Source organism: Homo sapiens, chromosome 2 (assembly GCF_000001405.40).
Source record: "Homo sapiens chromosome 2, GRCh38.p14 Primary Assembly".
NCBI classification, from domain to species: Eukaryota; Metazoa; Chordata; class Mammalia; order Primates; family Hominidae; genus Homo; species Homo sapiens.
This window is the reverse complement of record NC_000002.12, coordinates 64,844,722-64,864,959: the sequence shown is the minus strand read 5'-3', so window position 1 is coordinate 64,864,959 and position 20,238 is coordinate 64,844,722. Positions and strand designations below refer to the sequence as shown.

The window sequence follows — 20,238 nt, the reverse complement described above, 5'->3', positions numbered from 1 at the left end:
TCTGTTTTTCAGACCAGATTAAAAAAAAAAAAAATTCCCCTGTCGCCTGGGGAGATGTCTCAGTCACTTTTCTCCAGCAGGAAGCTGCTTCATGTTGGAGCCTCCTGGGATTGGCAGAGTTAAAAATCCTTTAACCCAGGATGCCTTGGGCCTTTTGTTCAGCCCTGACAATAGAATTGGGTGGAGGGGGCTGGGAAGGCAAGTAGCTGGGTTAGAGATGCATCCGTGGGGTGGGGGTATGGGGAAGCTTGTGTTCAGCCACTGGGTACATGAAAGCAACTGTGTGTGTGTGTGTGTGTGTGTGTGTGTGTGTGTGTGTGTGTGTGTGTGTGTCGGGGGAGGGTATAAGGGAGCCCAGGGACACTGGGGCACCAGCTCGTTAACACGTGTGTATGAATGCCGGCTGTGCGCTTGGCAAATCCTTAATTACACAGGGAGAACTTCCTGAACCGGGAACTCAGTATCGGTCCCTGAAAGGTTGGGTAATGGCTTCTTCTTGCATCTGGAATCCAAGGGGACCAATCTCTCTGGCTCCCCTGGGCTCTCAGATTCTTCTAGATGTCTTTGTCTTCTAAAATTCTGGGATCCCAAGGGAAGACACATAGTTAAGGACACTCAGAAATGCATACCTTTCAACCCTACTAATCATCCTAAAACCTGTGCTTTCAACATATCACGTCCTTGATCTGTAACCCTCAGGGGCACCCACGATCTCCAATGACTGGGAGTGATGGCATTTAAGTCTTTCCACCATGCAGAAGTTTCTTCCCTCATTCCCCATGAATTCTCTCCTGTAGCCAGCCTGGCCCCTCATAACCCCTTGGATATACTGTATCTTGAATTCTCCAGCCTTTCTGCAGTTGCCTTCCTGGGACATTCATTCCCATGTTCACAATCTAGCCAATTGTATCCCTTCTCTATTCAGTTCTAGCATCAGTCAGTCAATCAACAAGCATTTATTGAAAGTCCACTATGTACAAGACATGTTCTAGGCCCTGGTAATACATCAGAGACTGAGACAAATACCTGTTCTTAAGGATTTTATATTTTAATGGGAGAAACAGAGTAGACTCATGGCTCACGCCTATAATCCCAGGACTTTGGGAGGCCAAGGCAAGAGGATCACTTGAGGCCAGGAGCTCAAAACCAGCCTGGGCAGCAAGTGTCTTCTTTTGCCTCTGCAAAAGAAAATTAAAAATAACAAAAAAAGGAAGCTAAACTAGAGTATTGTGGTAGAGGGGTGTGTGTGTGTGCATGTGGGTGCATCCGTGTGTGTGGTAGGTTGATGGGTGCTGTTTTATTTAGCCAGGGAAGGTCTCTTTGAGGAGGTGGCATTCGAGACCTTCTGGGTGGGAAGGAGGCAGCCATGTGGTGATCTGGGGAAGAGTGCTGCAAGCAGAAAGGCAAGTAAAAACAAAAGCCCTGAGGCAGAAATGTGCTCCTTATGCTTAAGAAACACCGTGAAGGCCAACGTGGTTGGAGCAATGTGAGCAAGAAGAATAGAGGGGCCTTGGGAACATAGGTAGCTGAGTCCTCATGGATCAAGGTAAGAAGTGTGGGTTTTATTTTGTTGCAGTGGGAAGCCTTTGGAGGGTTAGAAGGTGGGGAGTGAAGAAAACAGTTAAGATACTATTGCAAAAGTCCTGGCAGGAGGAGATTTTAAAAACCACAGTTGTGGCTATGGAGATGGTGAGATGTGATACTGGTTTCTGGGTCAGTTTTGGAGGTGGGAATAGATAAGGCTTACTGATGATCTGACCCAGGACTAACTGGGTAGTCCTATGTTGGGGGTAGGAGGTGGATCCATAATTGTGTTTGGGCCATGCCAAGACCTATCAGACATCAGGTAAATATGTGTAGACAGCTTTGAGTCTGGAGTTCAGATTTAAATTTGAGAACCAGCATGTAGGTAGTCTTCAAAGCAGTAGGCCAGAATAATTCCACTTAGGGAGAGAGTCAAGAAAGAAGGTAGCAGATGGCTGAGACTGATGCCACTCCAACCTTTAGAGATCTGGTAGGGGAAAACCCAGCAGAGCAGACTGAGGAAGACAGCCCATGACACTGGAGGAAAACCAGAAGATGGTGATTACAAGGAACTCAGCAAAGGAAGTATTTTGAGAAAGAGGATGTATCAGTCTGCTATTGCTAGGTAACAAACAACCACAAAAATCTCAATGGCATAACAGTAAATATTTATTTGATTCACAAAGCTGTGAGTCAGCTGGAGGTTGGCTAGATGAGGCTGATGTTGGCTGGGCAGCTCTAAGCCACCGTTGGGCTGAGCCTGCTCTGCATACATGTCCCTCACTCTTTTTGTACCTGCAGGCCAGCTAGGGCACATTTTTCTCCCATGGTGATAATAGGCACAAAAAAGCAGGTGGAAACATAAAATGCCTCTAAAGACCTAGATTTGGAACTGGCACCATGTCACCTCCTCCTACATTCCATTGGCCAAAAGGGGTCATGCAGCCACGCCCAAAGTCAAGGGGCAAGAAAGTACAGTATAGTCTACATCTAGCGGGAGGGACTGCAGAGTCGGATTGAAGGGGATAGGGATAGAGTGAGGCAGGACAAGAAATAGGACCCATAATTCAGTCTTCCACAGAGAGAGTGGTCAAACGCATTCAGTGCCACTGACAGGCCAGATGAATAGAGGATGGTGAACTGGCCACCAATGTGACCTTAAGATGTCAGTCATTGGCATCCTTGATAAGAGCTATTAAAACAGACAACTAGGGCTAAAAGCCCAGTTGGAGTGGGTGGAAGTGAGAATGAGAAGTGTGGAGGTGGAGATGTCAGTGTGTAGACAACTCTTTCAGGAACAGTCACTCTAAAGAGGGGCAGAAACATGGTATAATAGCAAGAAGGGGATATGAGGCTAAGGCTTTAGAGCTTTTTAAGTCCCATTTAACTTCCATGGAAAGGCTCTGGTAGGAAGGAAGAAATTGATGAACACAACAGAAAGGGGATAATTGTGCTGGCAAAAGGGGATGGGGCCCAGGGCACAGATGGAGGGCTCGGCCATGGGTGGTGGGTGGAGAGAATGCAGAGCTATAGGCATTCTGGTGGCTTTGGAGGGAGGTAGGAAGATCCGGCAACAGATCGTACCTACTTTCTCTATGAAGGATAGTCTGAGGTTACAGTGAGAATGAAAGAGGAAGGGGAGTTGAGAATATGCAGAGAGAGGAGAAAGTGTGACATTATTGCACTGCGGAGAGGGAAAAGGAATTTTCTAAGTAACTGTAGTAGGATTGTCCAACAGTTCAAATGCCTGTTTGAAATTTATGGCCAGAAATTTGAATTGAGTCCATCCAGAGTAGCTGGCCGATTTTCTTTAGTGGTGTTCAATTGCTCAGGTGCAGGTGTGAAGTAAACAGTTTGATTTAACCACAGCTGGGTTTTCGCCCAGTGAATACAATGGAGAGAGACCAGAGCAAGGAAGGTAGGAGTGTTTGCCAGGGAGATTTTGTGTGCTGGAGCATGGAGTTTCAGTTCTCAGCTGGCTGAGAACGAAGGCCTGAGGGGAGAGATGTCATGAGAAAACAGGAGAGTCATGGAATAGAGGTCTGAGATGGGAAAATTGCTGAGTCCAAGAACTAAAGTAAGTGACCTGGAGGACTGATAGGTGAAGGGATCTCTGGATCTGAGAGTTTAGAGATGGTGTAGACATTCATGGTTCCAAGATCTAGCATATGACCAGGAGGCTGAGGCAGGGCAGGAGGAATATTCTGCTAGGGCTAAGGATATTAACAGTCTTAGAGATCGGAGTGTTGGGTGGGTCATCAGCATAGATGCTGAAGTCACCAAAAATGATGATATGAAAGGAGATAGAGCCTGATACTAAAATAATCAAGGGTTGGGGGAAGTGACTAGGAGGGTGACAGATGACATTAGGAGGGGTGATTTGTGGCTTTTTTAATTAAATATTTTTAATTTTTAATACTTTTTAGAGTAGTTTCAGATTCACAGCAAAATTGAGTGGAAAATCCAGAGTTCTATATATCCACCCTCCTGGGAGCAGTGTCCCCCACTATCAACATTCCCCACCAGCATTTGTTACAATTGATGAACCTAAGTGACACATTATCACCCCGAGTCCACAGTTTACATTGATGTGAATGCTTTATTCTTACTTTACATTACTTTTGCTGTTGTACATTCTGTAGGTTTGAACAAATGTATTATGACATTTATCCACCATTATAGTATCACATCTAGTAGTTTCGCTGTGCTAAGAGGCCGGGCTTTTGAAAGAGGAAGGAGAAACCGTTTAGAAACTTCAGTGATCAATGCGGAGTACATCTTCAGGCCCTGAGCTGCATAGCTGGAGGGAGAAAAGAGCCTCTACTGGAGAGGGCTATAGGGCAGCAGTGTCCTGGGGGCAGGTGGGCTTCTGGAAGAAGAAAGTGAGGGTCCTAGTTTTGGAGGAGCTTGAGAGTAGAGGCCTGGGGTAAGACTGGGGAGCGCAGGCAGGGTGGAGGCAGGGTTGGCTGCTGGGTGCTCAGCAGTGTGGGGTCGGGCATGTGTGCTGTGGTGAGTGGGGGCGGCTGGGGCAGGTGGCAGGCCCTGGAGGGAGGTGGCAGGTCGGATACCCTCACCTCGCCCTGTTGTGGAAGCTTTCCAGAAGACTTTGGGGAAAAACAGACTTCCCTTTCCAGGAACCCCTCTAAATTCGGTTGGTCGTGGTTCTCGGGGTTTATTATGTCCTTCCCGGTATCTCCAGCGTTCTTCTTCTCTGTGGATTTCTTATTTCCTCAATTAGACGAACGTTTGGGCAGGAACCCCAGCTCTACCATTTTACACCCGCTCAAGTGCAATACAGCACTTGACACATCATGTTTGTTGATTGCGTTGGATACAAGTGCGGTTTGGTTTCCCTTCCCGGCCAGGAATCCAAGAATGCACCCTCACCCCGCGGCTGCCTCCCGGGGCCAGCTGCCGTGCTGGTCCCCGGTAACCCGACGCCGGGCCGCTCCCCCTCCCGCCCCGGGGCTGCGGCCGCCAATGGACGCAGCCCGAGCCTCCGTCTGGGCCATGGGCCCCTCTCGGCGCCGCCCCCGCTGGGCTGGAGCGGGGGTGCCCGAGGCAAAGGGCCTGCAGGCGCGCGAGCACAAACCGGCTCCAGTTCCTAGCCCCTGCTCGCCTCCCTCTTCGTGTCCCGGCCCCGGCCCCGCCGGGACACCTCTGCCCCCTGCCTCGAGCCCAGGAGGCCAGGCTGCCGCCCCAGGGCGCCCGGGCAGTCGCAGACGGCGGCCTCCAGAGGGCCACGCCGGGGCCTCTCCCAGCCCGGGAGCCAAGACACTTGGCTCTGGCCTCTCTCCACCGTTTGATCTGCCCAGAGACCTTGGGCGGTCCGAGAGCCTCCGAGCCTCAGTCTCCTCATCTGTAGCTGGGGCTGGGCCCTGCGCACCTCTGAGTGGAGTGATGCAAGGGTGAAGGGTGTGAAAGTCTCCCTGTGTTGCCCAGGGGTCAAGGTCAAACCCAAGACACAGTGCCGCCAGCAGCTGCCCCGCCCGCAGCAGCTGCAGAACCGCAGCTCCTCCTGCCACCATCCAGGGAACTCCCTAGCTCCAGAGGAGGAGCCTATCAAGGGCACTTGGCTTTCCTCCACGTCCCCGGCACGGCACGAGGCGTTTCCTGCAGCTCCTAACTTCCAATGTAGAAATCAGCTCCGGGTTTCAGCAACCCTGGGAGAGGAGGCTGGAAATAGACGCTGGGCCAGCAGGAAGGTGCACAGGCGGGACACCTTTCAGCTGCCTGTTTCATCTCCCGTACATGATACTTGCTAGAGTGTAATAAGTGTACCAGAGGAAACACTCACTGACAAAGCCTATTTTCTCCCCAGATGGTTACAAATGCACATTCTTGAGTGACCTTCTACAGGCTACAAATACTGACGTATTTATACTGTACCTTGGGTCATGGTACCCAAAAGAAAAGCAAAGCAAAGGAGAGCTCAGAAAATACATTCTAGTCTCAAAGAGGAAGGAAGACAAAAGAGGATGTCTTTGTCAGTCTGCATTATGTTAACATTCATAGCCTCCCGTCACCCCCCATGATGGCAGGGCACAGGTCACCTATGGTGATGGGGACATATGAAGTTCCCTGAGTTCTTCACTTCTGTGTCATGTCCTGAACGGAATCCCAAGTTAGCTCCTGGAACCCGCAGCCTTGGCTCACACCAGCAATGTCACAGAGGTAAACTGCTCTCGCTTCCCTGAGCTTGGACTTCAGGGCCTGGCAGCCCCACCAGGCCCTCACCCTGGATGAATCCAACAGTAGGAAGTGACTGGGGAGTCCCTGAGCAGACAGAGGGAGAGGTGCCCACCGGCCCAGGCCTGATGTTCTTATGAATTCTTTTGGTTCCAGACCTTTTTGGCCTTGCCAAGCCCTACAGGAAAGATCAGAGCAGCTGGAAATTTCTAGCAGGAAAGTGCCAGGTTCTGAACAGGTCCTAGTCTGACTTAGAAACAGTTAGGGGCTGGGGCTGCTGGCGGTTGGCATTCTTGTCTGCTTGGTCTCACAGACAGGCAGGAATTGCTTGCTCTCAGAAGGGAGTGCTGCCCCTGACGCTGGGCTGGAGCCGAAGTAAACCCAGGACACGGGGCTGGGGACGATAATTAGAAGCCTCACTTCCACTCCAGCACCAAGACAGCGACACAAAGGGCCTCCTCTGCTGGCCAAGCAGGAGGGGACGGGCTGCCCTGGGGAGGGCTGAGACTGTCACCCAGTGTAGGGCCAGGCAGCTGCAAATGAAACACAGGCCCAGAAGGCTCAGACAGGCATTCAATCTTTCCCAGAGCCAAGAAATCCTGGCTAGAAACTTGACTACAGAGCGAGGAAAGGCACCGGGAAATACTTGAAACCAGGCAAGACCCCTGGTAATGCTGGACTTCTGACAAGCAAGGAGTCGGGCCAAGTGCTTCTTCCCGCCTGGCCCAAACACAAAAGCTGAGCTGGCCAGAGAGGTCCCAGGGGAGATGGGAGAGCAGCTTGGGAGGAACCCAGCAGGAAGAGGAAAGCAGGCAGCAGAGTGATTTTTACCCTGCTCAGACCCCAGAGTTTTCGCACCGCAAGTCTGCAGAGCAGGGGCCCCCACTGTCTTCACACCCACAGCCAAGGCCCCTCCGGCCATTGGAGGCTCACACAAGGGGGTTATGGAAACGCCAGTGTGGCAGCGTGGGGTCACCAACACCTCAGTGGCCAGGCTGCATGGTGCCTGGGCCAGCTTCTCTGTGAGGAAGGGGAGTTTGCAGGGAAACTGTTTGCAGAAAAGCTGTTCCTACTGTGGAGGGACTGACCTTGGCCCCTGGAGCAAACTCAGTCCTTAACCACGTGCTCAGGCTACTTAATTTTAAATGAATTTGCACAGTTGCGTGTTATGAGTGAATTCATAAACCTACAAAGGAATAGTCTTTTATTCATGCTGGTATGTGTGGAAGGGGGTTACTTTTTTAAAGTTCTAAAATTAAAGAAAAAAAGATAAATCATCCTGTGTTGAGGATTGGATTTTGCAACTGAATTCTCTTTATCCTTTGCTAGATCTTGAGAAAAGAAAGAAGAAAAAGAAATATGCTGAAGTATGATGACTTAAAAAAAAACTCTGAATATAAAAGTAGAACATGCTCTATAAAAAGAAATTCAGACAAAAAAAATAAAGAAGGGAACAAAAATCACCTGTCACCACGCCACCAGTGATAGCCCTGATAACATTTTTGTATATTTTTCCCATACTATTTTCTGTGCATACAGACATATGTTTTTATGTGAGCTAAAATTGTTAACATGGTCATGCTCTTAGCATTCTTCCTGCCCCTGTCTACTGAAGAAAATCTTGAATTTGTCTATTTGGTTTCCTTCACTTCTCTCTTCTAGGGAGAGGAACAATTATTACTTGCTGAGAGGAGCTAAGCTGATCTGCATGATGAAGGAATGGAATGGGCTAAGGAAGACGTCCAGACAGGGAAAAGCCTTATGGAAGGGAATTCAACAGAGTTTTCAGAGATTAGCACATTTGAGGCTCTCTAAATAATCAGATGTGGAGGAAGGGGCTTCTGAGATGAGCTAACACGACTATGACCCAGAGTCTTTTAATGTTCTTCCAAATACGTGATCAAATAATGGAATTTATTCTGTATTAATTTTGAGCACTAAACTGTGCATTAAGTCTATAGAGGGATTGGACCCTATGGTCTCCCCTCTGATTTACAAGAATTATGTTTTTAAAAGATGGGGTCATACTATATTTACTTTTACTTATAAAACATTTTAAAATTTTAATTTTAAATTAATTAATTTATTTTTGACACAGAGTCTCGCTCTGTTGCCCAGGCTGGAGTACAGTGGCTCGATCTGAGCTCACTGCAACCTCCGCCTCCTGGGTTCAAGTGATTCTCCTGCCTCAGCCTCCCAAGTAGCTGGGACTACAGGCCCATGCCACCATGCCCAGCTAATTTTTCTATTTTTAGTAGAGACAGGGTTTCACCATGTTGGTCAAGCTGGTCTCGAACTCCTGACCTCATGTGATCCACCCACTTTGGCCTCCCAAAGTGCTGGGATTACAGGCGTGAGCCACCCCCCGGCCTTTCAAAAAAATTTTTAATTCACCACTATACTAATGAGGATATATTTGGTACTTACATGATCTTTTTTTTTAAAAAAAAAAACAATTAAATCTTATGGTCAATAAATGCAGAAATGAATTATCCTTTGAAACAGCTGCATGGTTGGCCTTCATTTGTCTTCATCATAATTTATTTAACCCCCACTTACCGATTTTTGTCATTGTTGTTGTTTGTTTGTTTTAAATAGAGTCTCACTCTGTTTCCTAGGCTAGAGTGGAGTGGTGTAGCCTCAAACCCCTGGACTCAAACAGTCCTCCCACCTCAGCCTCCTAAATAGCTGTGACTACAGATGCACACCACCATATCTTGCTTTTTTTTTTTTTTTTTTTTTTTTTTTTTGGAGATGGAGTCTCGCTGTGTCACCCAGGCTGGAGTGCAATGGCGTGATCTCAGCTTACTGCAACCTCCATCTTTCAGGTTCAAGAAATTCTCCCGCCTCAGCCTCCAGAATAGCTGGGATTACAGGTGCATGCCACCATGTCCAGCTAATTTTTGTATTTTTAGTAGAGAGTGTTTCACCATGTTGGCCAGGCTGGTCTCGAACTCCTGACCTCAGGTGATCCATCTGCCTCGGCCTCGCAAAGTGCTGGGATTACAGGCATGAGCCACCATGGCCGGCCACATCTGGCTTTTTAAAAAATTTTGTGGAGATGGTGTTTCACTATGTTGTCCAGTCTGGCCGCAAACTCCTAGCTCAAACAATCCTCCCATTTCAGCCTTCCAAAGTTTTGGGATTATAGGTGTGAGCCACTGCACCTGGCCAACCCCTCCCCTGTTGATGCCCACTTATGTTGTTTCGAAGTTAATAAATGGTTACCTAAGGTCATCCTTATGTTCGTACATCTTTGCATCTTGCTGAATTTTTCTTTAGAACATATTCCTAAAAGCATCCATGCAGAGTTAAAGGATAATAAGAACATCAGAATTCAGTGCAGTGCCAAGTTGCTCTCTGGAAAGCAAAATTAACACAATGACCTCCAGGGTTGGGTTTCTGCTCCTGAGTGTAGTTGTGCTGCCCAGGGAGGTCCAAGTAGGCAGAGATGCTTAGGGATAGGGTGGAGTCTTTGCACATGGTAGGGAAAGAATGGAGGCTCTTCCTGGATGGAGGGCAAGAAAGGCTAGTGAAGGCCCTATGGAGGATTCATTTTGCTACCCAGCATTCTTTCCTCTGCCTGGCAATCACCTTTCCTTATTCCAAAGAGACCATTCAGTCCATAAGGTTTGGGTGGTGTTGACCTCACACTTTGCCTCTTACCTCCAGCGTGGGCTAACCATGGGGGTGACCACATAGCTTGAGCCAGATCAGTCAGAAGACTCCATACCCTGGAGTCCTTGGTGATTGGACCAAGGATGTGTCTATATCTGCATGTTCACATGACCCATTCCAGGAAGCAGCTTCCTCTCTTCTTTACTCAGCCTCATGTGACACCAGAACTGGCAGTGTCCCTCTCCTCCCACACACAAGGGCTGCTGGGATGGAGACAAAACCCTGACAACATTGCTGAACCTCAGGATACAGCCATGTCTGAAGTCAGCAGGATTCATACTGGACTTTGCAGTTACATGAGAGCCCGTATACTTCTTCCTCCCTGCCAAATTTTCATTCGATTTTATTTCTTATGTATTGAAAAAGAAAAAAGAGCCAGGCATTGGGGTGTATGTCAGCAGTTTCTGTGACTGGGGGTGGGAAGTGGAGTTTTGGGGAGAGAGTGGCTGAGGTGGGAGAATTACTTGAGCCCAGCCTGGGCAATATAGTGAGACCTTGTCTCAAAAAAAAAAAGAAAAAAAAAAAAGCATTGGATTTTTTCTTTTTTTTCCCTCTTTTTTCTTTTCTTTTCTTTTTTTTTTTTGAGATGGAGTATCACTCTGTCACCAAGGCTGGAGTGCAGTGGTGCGATCTCGGCTCACTGCAACCTCGACCTCCTGGGTTCAAGTAATTCTCCTGCCTCAGCCTCCCGAATATCTGGGATTACAGGCACCTGCCACCACACCCAGCTAATTTTTTTATTTTAGTAGAGACGGGGTTTCACCATGTTGGTCAAGCTAGTCTTGAACTCCTGACCTCAAGTGATCTGCCCTCCTGGGCCTCCCAAAATGCTAGGATTACAGGCGTGAGCCACCACACCCAGTTGGATTTTTTTCTTTTTATTCACATAACACAAAATTAATCATTAACCATTTTAAAGTGTGCAGTTCAGTGGCACTTACATTCACAAGTCTGTGCAACCAGCACCTCTATCCAGTTGAAGATCTTTTCATCATCACAAAAGGAAACACCATACTCATTAAGCAATCACTTTCTCTTTCCCTCTCCCATCAACTCCTGGCAACCACTAGTTGGCTTTCTGTCTCTATGGCTATACTTCTGGAAGATGGCTTTACCAAGTCTGAAAGTTTCATATAAATGGAATCATACAATATGTGACATTTTGTGTCTGGATTCTTTCACTTAGCATAATGTTTTCAGGCTTCGTTAACGTTGTAGAATGTTTAAGTACACCATTATTTCTTGGGGCTGAATACTATTCCACTGCATAGATACACCACCTTTTGTTTACCTATTCATTAGCTGATGAGCATTTGGGTTGTTTCTACTTTTGGCTATTACGAATAATGCCACTATCAACATTCATGTACAAGAATTTGAATACCTGTTTTCAATTTTTTTGGGTATAGACCTGGATGTGGAATTCCTGGGTCATTTGGTAACTCTGTGTCCATACCTTCCTTTTCTAGTGTAAGCTAGAGCGCAGCGTGGTTCTGTTCTGGGCAAACAAAGGAGTCCTGACTTACTCAGGCCTCCAAAGAGGAACCAGCCAGGCATGGTGGCTCTCATCTATAATCCTAACACTTTGGGAGGCCGAGGCAGGAGCATTGCCCAAGCCTAGGAATTCAAGACCAGCCAGGGCAACATAGTGAGACCCTGTCTCTACCAAAAATAAAAAATAGCCAGGCATGGTGGTGTGCACTTGTAGTCCCGACTACTCAGGTGGCTGAGGCAGGAGGATTGCTTGAGCCTGGGAGGTCGAGGCTGCAGTAAGCCATGATCGTGTCATTGCATTCCAGCCCAGGTGACAGAGCAAGAGAAACAAAACAAAACAAAACAAAACAAAGAGGAAGCAGCATGGCCAAAGTGGGGAGCAGTGAAGAAAGTGCTCTGCCCAGAGAGAATGTGAAGCCTCAAGATACGGGAAGCAGAGCAGGGAGGAAGCACTTTCTCTACTGGGAGTGAGTGGCATATGAGAAGGTGGTGTTTTCTGAACAAGTAGCAGGGCCGTATTGTCCAGAAGACCCAGGGAGAAGAGGCATCTTAGAGCAGTTATTTGGCAACCCAGTCTGTGGGAGGAAATGCCCCTCTCCTTCCTCTTTTTCTTCCTCCTCCCTTCTTGCCTATGCAGAGTTGAACCTCTGGGGAGTAGCTGGGTGGAAAAGAGCACATTGTCGTTTTTAAGTGAAAGGTTTTGTTTCAATCTGTGCCTCTCACAGCCCTGCCAGGGATTTCTCCATTCTGGTGAGCTGCAGGTCAGAACTCAAGGCTGTATTTGAGGGCGGTCAGCCATCTTCAGCTATGTCTGCTCTGCCTGGGGGAGGCTCCCCCTTTTCTAAGCTGGGTCAGGGCCTTCCAGGTGCAGTGAAGGCCCTGACCCAGCTTAGAAAAGAAATGGTTGGGGTTTCTGCTCCTATTTCTTCATCCCCAATGCCTATCACTCTCTACACCCCTGATGTTATTAGTTCATTTTGGGGAGATCAAACCAGGACAACTGAAATCCATGTTTTTGCTCACTCTAACTGAGCACAGTTCTCTTCAAGGTCAGGGTTACATCCTCTCTGTGGAACGCACTATGGTGGAGACTGGTTCTATTCAATTCTCTTCATGTTGAGTGCCTTTTGTGTGTGTCATGCTGGGCCAGGTCCTGAGCAATGGGGGAAGAAGAGATGGGCAAGGACATAGGGTTGCAGGCACTAGAAACCGAGGCACCTGACCCTGGGGAGCATGGACATGTGTCTCAGTGGAGATAGGTACCCAGAGGAAGCAGGTGGGGACATTCAGGAGAACAGACAACATTACAAAGGTAGGGGGAATTTTAGATCCCTCTAGTGCATACCTATGAGTGTAATATAAATTTTAAATTTTTAAAGTAATACCTTCACATAGTCTAGAAGCTGAGGCCTCCTGCCAATAGCCAGCACCAACTTGCCAGTCATGTGAGGAGCTTCTTGGAAGCAAATTTTGCAGCCCCAGTCAAACTTTCAGATGTCTGCAACCCCATAAGAGACCCTGAACCAGAACTGTCAAACTAAGTTACTCCTGAATTTCTGACCCACAGAAACTGCATGAGGTAGTAAGTGTTTTATTATTAAGTAGCTTCATTTTGGGGTGATTTATTGCACAGCAATAAAGAACTAATCCATAATGCTTGCTGTTATTACTTTCTTGGGTCAGCATCCCCAAGCAAAGAAGCTAAGGAAGGAGATGTCCTGTGCTATGCTGCAAACAGTGGGGATTGTGTGTGTTGGCAGTGGGGGGTGGGAGGGAGGGGAGGGGCGTGGGTACTGGGATTTTTTAGAGAGAGAGTCTCACTATGTTACCCAGGACTCAAACTCATGGGCTCCAGTGATCCTCCCACTTCAGCTTCCCAAGTAGCTGGGATTACAGGTGTGCACCACTACGCCTGGCTGTGAACACACACCTAGTGTTAATAGCTAGGACCACCTTGCTCCTGGGTTGCATATAACATGACGGACTAAGGATCATCGGGCCACATTATAAAGCTTCCTTCAAAATGAGAAGTTTCACACCAAGTGAAGTGTGCTTCAGAAGCCAGCAGTCTCTGGAGGAGATGCCTGGGCTGGCAAACTTTGCTCACAGATGACCTCAAGTGCTCAGGTAACACACATCAAAATGAGAGTCACGGGGCTATAGATCTAACACAGTTCTCATAGCTGCGAATTGACTGAGCACTTTCTTTTCTTTTTCTTTCTTTTTTTTTTTTTTGAGATGGAGTCTTGCTCTGTTGCCCAGGCTGCAGTGCAGTGGCACTATCTCGGCTCACTGCAATCTCCACCTCCCAGGTTCAAGCAATTCTCCTGTCTCTGCCTCCTGAGTAGCTGGAATTACAGGCACCTGCCACCATGCTAATTTTTGTATTTTTAGTAGAGAAAGGGTTTCACGATGTTGGCCAGGCTGGTCTCAAATTCCTGACCTCAGGTGATCCACCCACCTCAGCCTCCCGAAGTGCTGGGATTACAGGTATGAGCCACCATGCCTGGCCAACTGAGCACTTACATTAGGAAAAGCTGGTCTCAGCCACAGATTCATTTGGGTCTGGCCTATGTTGCCAGAGAGTGGAAGCTTCAGCCTCTCCCATGAAAATGAGGCAAAAACCTCTGCAGTATTTCCCAGCAAAACAAGTTTCCTTCCTTGTGGTGTGGGGCACATGCAGCTGTGTTTCATCAGCTAATGTGAGCTTGTGTCCAAGAAGTCCCCACCCCTCTCTCCTCTGAGTACCTGAGATTCTGGGAAATGAACTCTATTTTAAGCCTCTGGGTTTTCCTTGTCATTAGGAGCACAGAGCTCCTTGCAAATAGGTAGCCACAGGGGAGCTAAAAAAAGGGAAGATGAAGTGAGACCCACATAGCCCCAAGTCTTCCACCTGAAGACTCTGGAATCCATCATCACCCTTGGAGACATTAACTGTCTTTGGGTAGGGGCTTCTCTCAGCGATGGAATGGTTAACCGATCTGAGCTCCTTCCCTGTAAGAAGTTTGATATAAAACATGTCAAGAGTATTTTAACACTTCTGTATTTTTTCAGCCAGCCGCAGTGGCTCAAGCCTGTAATCCCAGCATATAGGGAGGCCAAGGTGGGCAGATCACTTGAGGTCAGGAGTTCGAGACCAGCCTGGCCAATATGGTGAAATCCTGTGCCTACTAAAAATACCAAAATAGCCAGGCATGGTGACAGGTGCCTGTAGTCCCAGCTACTCGGGAGGCTGGGGCAGGAGAATCACTTGAACCCAGGAAGTGGAGGTTGCAGTGAGCAGAGATCGCACCACTGCACTCCAGCCTGGGTGACCAGAGCGAAACTCTGTCTCAGAAAAAAAAAAAAAAAAAAAAAAAAAACAACTATATTTTTTGTTGTTTGCGCCTTTCTTTTTTGATTTTGCTGCAGCAAAATGGATATTCAGCACCATCTACCTCTCAACAGCTATAAAGGGAAGTAGTTGAGAAAAGACCACTTTCCAATTTTCCTACATCCCTTGGGAAGAAAGGACATGACACTTGGGTTCAGATTTTTTAAGGCCCAAGTGTTGACTAGTCTTCCCTCCTCTAGCCAAAGCCCATAGGTAGTAAACAAATTCAGTCAACTGGTTTCTTACAAGCCTTCCTTAAGCATTTCATGAAGGATGCTTTTTGGATTAACGGCTAATATTGACTTCAGTTCCCAAAGGAAATTGAACATTTCCATGTACTTCCCAAAGGGTAAATGAAGAAACCCATGTTGAAAAAGTTAAATCTGCATTTCTGAGAAATAACCATAGTTTGTGTGGGAGGTGTCCTTGGCCTTCACTCTCATGCTCCTTGAGGCGACAATGTCAGTGCCATAGCTGAAGGGTAAATGGTGTGTGAATGAGGTGCCCTCAGCAGCAACTTTAGACAAGGCTGACAGCGAAAGACAAGCAAAAATAAAATCAAGGTAAAATACTGCCAATGCTTCTATTGCTATTTGTATCATGTTACCCTTAATGATTTGTAATTTTACATTTAAAGTTATTATCTTTTGGCAGGCACCTTGACTTTAAGTGTCTGTTACACCAAAGGTTATGGCAAACTGTGTCTGCAGCCCACAGTAAAATCCAGTTTAAGGCTCTCCACACTGGAGTGCAGCTATCCAGGTAGGTAGTGCCACCAGCCTAAGGTCACACCTTCTTCCTTGGCGTGAGGTTGCCCTACGTTGGCACTTATCATGGTCACTGCTTTGGTGACTGTCATTCTGCCCAGGGCTTTAAGTGACCACCTTCCACAGACTCCCCCATTTCATACTACAGAGAAAGCATCTTGTGTCTTACCTTCCCTCCCTTAGTGTGCTAGGACTGCCTGGTGAGTGGCACTAAAGGATCATCCCTTGGTTCCTGATATCTAGGAACCCACATATGCTTAAAAACAGCAAGATAACTCCCCAGATTGAATCTCTGCAGGCTGAAAAGTTGGATGGATTCCAACTAGAGCACCATTTCCCTAATCCCACACACTTTTAAGGGACTAGAGACTGAGGAATGTTCAGGGATTATCACAGAATATTCTGGTCCTTTTGTTGGAGCCTGAAAGCTCTTTAGAGCAATTGAGTACACAGAAATTCAGCCAGAATGGGAGCACAAGCAGAAGCAGACCAAGCTATTTCTCCCCTGAACACACACTCTGCACACTGACAGGTACAAATATAGCTAAAAGAAATGACGATTACATAAGTTCCTAGCCAGTGTCCAGCACATAGTAAGTCTATCAGTTAGCTCTTCCTGTTTAACAAATCTTCCCTAAACTTAGTGGCTCAAAACAACCACCCTTTAGCTTACGATTCTGCAGTCTGGCATATTTCTGCCAGCTTGCCCATGCTCAGAGGCCAGCTGCCTGGTGGGCTAGGGCCTGGCTGGACTAGGACAGCCTCAGCTGGGGCAGCTTCTCTGTGTTTCTCATTCTCCAGCAGGCTAGCTTGGGCTTGTTCACACAAGTTTCCAGAGAGAGAAGTAGGCAAGAGCTTCAGAACCGTACAAACAAGGTCCGCTGCATTCTACTGGCCACAGTGAGTCCCTAGGGCAGCCCCAGTCGAAGGAGCAGAGAGGTAGTCTGTTCCTCTTGATGGAAGAGAGGCACAGAGTCATTTAGCTTAGGGGTAAACATATAGACGCAGTGAAGGATTGTGGCCACTTTTACAATCTACCACTGTAGCTACCAATAAGTTCTGTGTTTACAGTTTTTCAGCCATTTCCAAAAGGAATTATATTGATGTGTTAGTTGACAAGCCTACAATGAAAAGATAGATGGGAAAAGAAGACCATCAGACAGGTAAAGAAGATTGTCAAAGACCAATACCTTTGTTAATGCGCTTGCTCCCCCAACAGCCAACCCCTCGAAGGGTCCCTCCCTGACCCAGCCCTCCTCCTCCCTCCCCTTAATGTGAGATCCTCACTGGGCCTCAGCCCAGGGCTTGCGTCCTGCCCTCAGGGCATGAGCATCTGGTTGAGACTGTCTCCATCTTCTGGCGTAGCAGCTTTGGTCCCTTGTGAGCTACTCAACTCCTTGATGGAGTCATTTCAGAGTCTCTGGGAAAAATTGAAGCTCTCCTCCAAGAGTTGGGGGTGGGCTCCCCTGGTCTGGAATGTTCTTTCCCGTCTTATTTGGAAGTTAGAAAGTGGCTAGTAACATGGCCAGCGCCTGTGGGATCATCCTCTTCCTCAAGGTGGCTGGATATGTGGAGACAAGCACGAAGAAGTCCAGGCTCTGTCACGACGTTGCTGACTGGCTTCTGTCACATTTTCAGGTGAGGCAAATCTGTGTAGTGATTTCCTGTCAAGAATAGGAATGACATCCCCTCCTCCCTCTGATTGCACTACAAATGCCATCACACACGCAATGCACTCATGAGAACTCCATTGTTCTATTTCTTCAGCAGAGCAGACGCTGTTGGCTTCTCATCTTCACTCACACAACCCTCTTTTCCACAGGCATCTTTTAGCTAGAGGTGCGCGTGTGACACCACATGGACTGTGAGAAATAGTCAAGTTCAGCCTAGTGACGCTTCTGGCAAAGCTTGTTTTCCTGATTTTTAAAAAAGGAGTTGGGGGAGTGCCATGCCTTTTGTCCTTCCTCCCTCCTCCTGCCTGGAACATGGATGTGAGACCAGGAAGTACAGCAGCCATCTTGTGACCATGAGGACTAAAGGCCTGCGCTGAGGATGGTACAGTAAAATGAAAGAAGCAGCCTGGATGCCTGATGAGCAGCTGTGCCAGCCCCAGGGTCATGCAAATCAGTGTCAATCATTGTGGTTCTGGTTTTCTCCTATTTGTAGCCAAATAAATTCCTTACTGATATAGGCAGGGTCCTTGTTGGTTCCAAAAAAAAGTGGATTCACAGAAATATAACTGAGAGAACCATGAATTTCTAAAGAAGTCCTAGAAATAGATCAGTCAGAGAAGTTGTCCATTTCAGGCAGGGGTTTCTACTGTAAGTTGCTTGGATGGAAAATAAATCAGTGTTAAGGAGGTGAGAATGCCATCACTTGAATTGTATGACTATATCTTATTAAATCTCAGATGCCATCAGTTGTAAGGTATAGCATTATTTTACATATCACTATGAGAGAAGAAAATGCTCTCAAGACATATCACTGATTGTAAGATGCATCCACCTTGATTTCAGAGATTTTAAAATGTGAAAAAAGGGAGGGACATCTTAGGATCAGTGAAATATGGCACATATTTATTTGCTTCCTTGATTCCTGCCTGCTGTGCTCATTAGACCAGAGACACTGTCTGCCATGCTCTCTGCCAAGTCCTCCATACCTAGAATTGGGCCTGGCATAGAGTGGGGTCTATAAATATTGGTTAATTAATAAGTTAACTAATAAGTTCTAGTCCTTGCTTTTCCAATAACTTCCCATGCTACCCTGGCTGGAGAAAGCATTTCCCTTTCTCTGTACCTCATTTCTCCATAATCTAGTTCAACTGACCCTCACCAGAACTGAAGAAACAAAAAGCCCCAAATACATGCAAAGCGGACCTACACTCTGCATCACCATGGTGACGCCTCCCAGGGTCCCAGAGGGCAGGGAGGCCTCATCTTCCACCATCCCTAGAAATCTCTCTTTCCCCAGAGCCCAACTCCTTCTAAAGCTCTGTGGTTAACCCTTTCCAGGCAAGCCTTTTCCAACACTCTGTTAGGGTTACTAAATGTGCTCCCTACAAATGGACTAGGGCCAAGGAATTATGCAAGATCCTTCAAGCAAAGAGATGGTATTTTGTAACTTCCCTGAGTTTCTCCAGGAAGATGAAATGCACAACATATTTTAGAATAATATCAACCTACATATGTCAGAGAGGTAGTCTTGTCTGACCAAAGCCCTTGAGCTGGTGAGGGGCGGGGTTCCAGGTGCCCCTTCTGCTGCACTAGCATTGTATTCAGAAGTAATAAAGATGATGGCTTTCATGTAATGAGTGACGAACCCTTTGCATATATTCCTTCATTGAGTCTTCAACAGAAACTTATGGGGTAGGAAGTATCTTTATCCCCATTTTACAAGTGGGGAAACTGAGGCATATAGCTGTTAAGTAGGTGGCAGAGCCTGGCCTCGAAGTCAGGTGGGGTAGCACCAGAGTTTATGCTCTTAACCACTATGCTCTATTGCCTTATAACTGCCTTACACTGGGTACCTAGTTCATCCCAGGCTCTGTGCTTGGCATTGAGGCACAGACAAAAATAAAGCCTAGTTTCTACTCTGGAAGAGTTCATGCTCTAATGGAAAAGACAGACCTGCTGGCAGAGATGGTCATGAAGTGTCACAGGAACACAAAAGAAAGAAAAAAAAAGGCCCATGCCTGTAGGCAATCAAGGAAGGGTTCACAGAGGAGGTGCCTTTGAGTGGGCCATTGAAGGGAAAGTAGGAGTTTGCTACATAGACAATGGAGGGAAGGGCATCCCAGAGAGCAGAAGCTTCTTGGAGGCTCTGGGGAGGAGGAAGACACAGAGGAGCTGACAGAAAGCAGGACTGGAAATTAGGGAAGGGGCCCCATGAGGAGGGAGTTTGCCTGCCTTGGTCAGGGAATCTGAGAAGGGTTTAAACAGTGGAGGAATACGCTTGCCTTGCATTTTTGAAAGAGTTCTCAGGTAGTTGCATAGGGAGTGATTGTGGTGAGGAGAAAGAACTGCATTTGAGTGGATGGCAAACTTCATGTTTCCCCTCTGTGAGTGACATTGTGAAGAGGAGAAGAAAAGTGTAGACAGATATGGAGATTAGCATGCGTTTTTTTGTTTGTTTGTTTGTATGTTTTTGTTTGGGTTTTTTTTTAAGACAGGGTCTCACTCTGTTACCCAAGCTGGAGTGCAGTGGTGCAATCATGGCTCACTGCAGCCTCGACCTCCTGGGCCCAAATGATCCTCCCACCTCAGCCTCCCAAGTAACTGGGACTACAGGTGTGTGCCACCATACCCGGCTAATTTTTTAATTTTTTTGTAGAGATGAGGTCTCCCTATTTTGCCCAGGCTGGTCTTGAATTCCTGAGCTCAAGCAATCCTCCTGCCTCGGCCTCCTAAAGTGCTGAGATTACGGGCATGTAATCTGCCACTGCACCTGGCCAAAACTAGCATGTATTAAAACATATATTTGGCTTCAAGCATAGGAAAGGATGAACATCCACACCTACAGAACTCTCTCAACCTGAATAGGCTTTTTTTTTTTTTTTTAACTGCTCTTTGTGGAGTAGGGTTACCCCATAGGTAGTGTGCCCTAGCCCCATGTGTTCGTGTGCATTGACTTGAGGGCTCTGGCAGGGTTTCTACTCCCTCTTCTAAAACACCATCTCTCTGATGCCTGAAATTCCACTTTCAGAAATTATTCCTA

General features: G+C 47.2%; 1 long non-coding RNA gene across 1 annotated transcript, besides 5 other annotated features; it reads left to right on the top strand.

Annotated features, from left to right (window-relative positions):
* The first annotated feature begins 1,328 nt into the window (after positions 1-1,328).
* Positions 1,329-18,830, top strand: LINC01800 (long intergenic non-protein coding RNA 1800). Its single transcript, NR_110224.1, has 5 exons — positions 1,329-1,546; positions 15,413-15,520; positions 16,597-16,688; positions 17,083-17,163; positions 17,348-18,830. It is a non-coding gene; the product is annotated as a long intergenic non-protein coding RNA 1800 (long non-coding RNA).
* Positions 4,304-4,523: an enhancer, noted in NCBI's record as "active region_15911". NCBI's record gives its function as "activates an Ori minimal core promoter by ATAC-STARR-seq in GM12878 lymphoblastoid cells {active_cell/tissue: GM12878}" and the evidence as "EXISTENCE:reporter gene assay evidence [ECO:0000049][PMID:35858748]".
* Positions 4,814-5,333: a silencer, noted in NCBI's record as "silent region_11568". NCBI's record gives its function as "represses an Ori minimal core promoter by ATAC-STARR-seq in GM12878 lymphoblastoid cells {active_cell/tissue: GM12878}" and the evidence as "EXISTENCE:reporter gene assay evidence [ECO:0000049][PMID:35858748]".
* Positions 4,851-5,054: a silencer, noted in NCBI's record as "fragment chr2:65087040-65087243 (GRCh37/hg19 assembly coordinates)". NCBI's record gives its function as "represses an EF-1alpha promoter that drives an FKBP-Casp9 reporter gene in an ReSE screen in K562 erythroleukemia cells {active_cell/tissue: K562}" and the evidence as "EXISTENCE:reporter gene assay evidence [ECO:0000049][PMID:32094911]".
* Positions 5,371-5,665: a silencer, noted in NCBI's record as "tiled region #2197; HepG2 Repressive DNase matched - State 4:PromP". NCBI's record gives its function as "represses a minimal TATA promoter and a strong SV40 promoter by Sharpr-MPRA in HepG2 cells {active_cell/tissue: HepG2}" and the evidence as "EXISTENCE:reporter gene assay evidence [ECO:0000049][PMID:27701403]".
* Positions 11,793-11,852: an enhancer, noted in NCBI's record as "active region_15910". NCBI's record gives its function as "activates an Ori minimal core promoter by ATAC-STARR-seq in GM12878 lymphoblastoid cells {active_cell/tissue: GM12878}" and the evidence as "EXISTENCE:reporter gene assay evidence [ECO:0000049][PMID:35858748]".
* Positions 18,831-20,238: the final 1,408 nt, after the last annotated feature.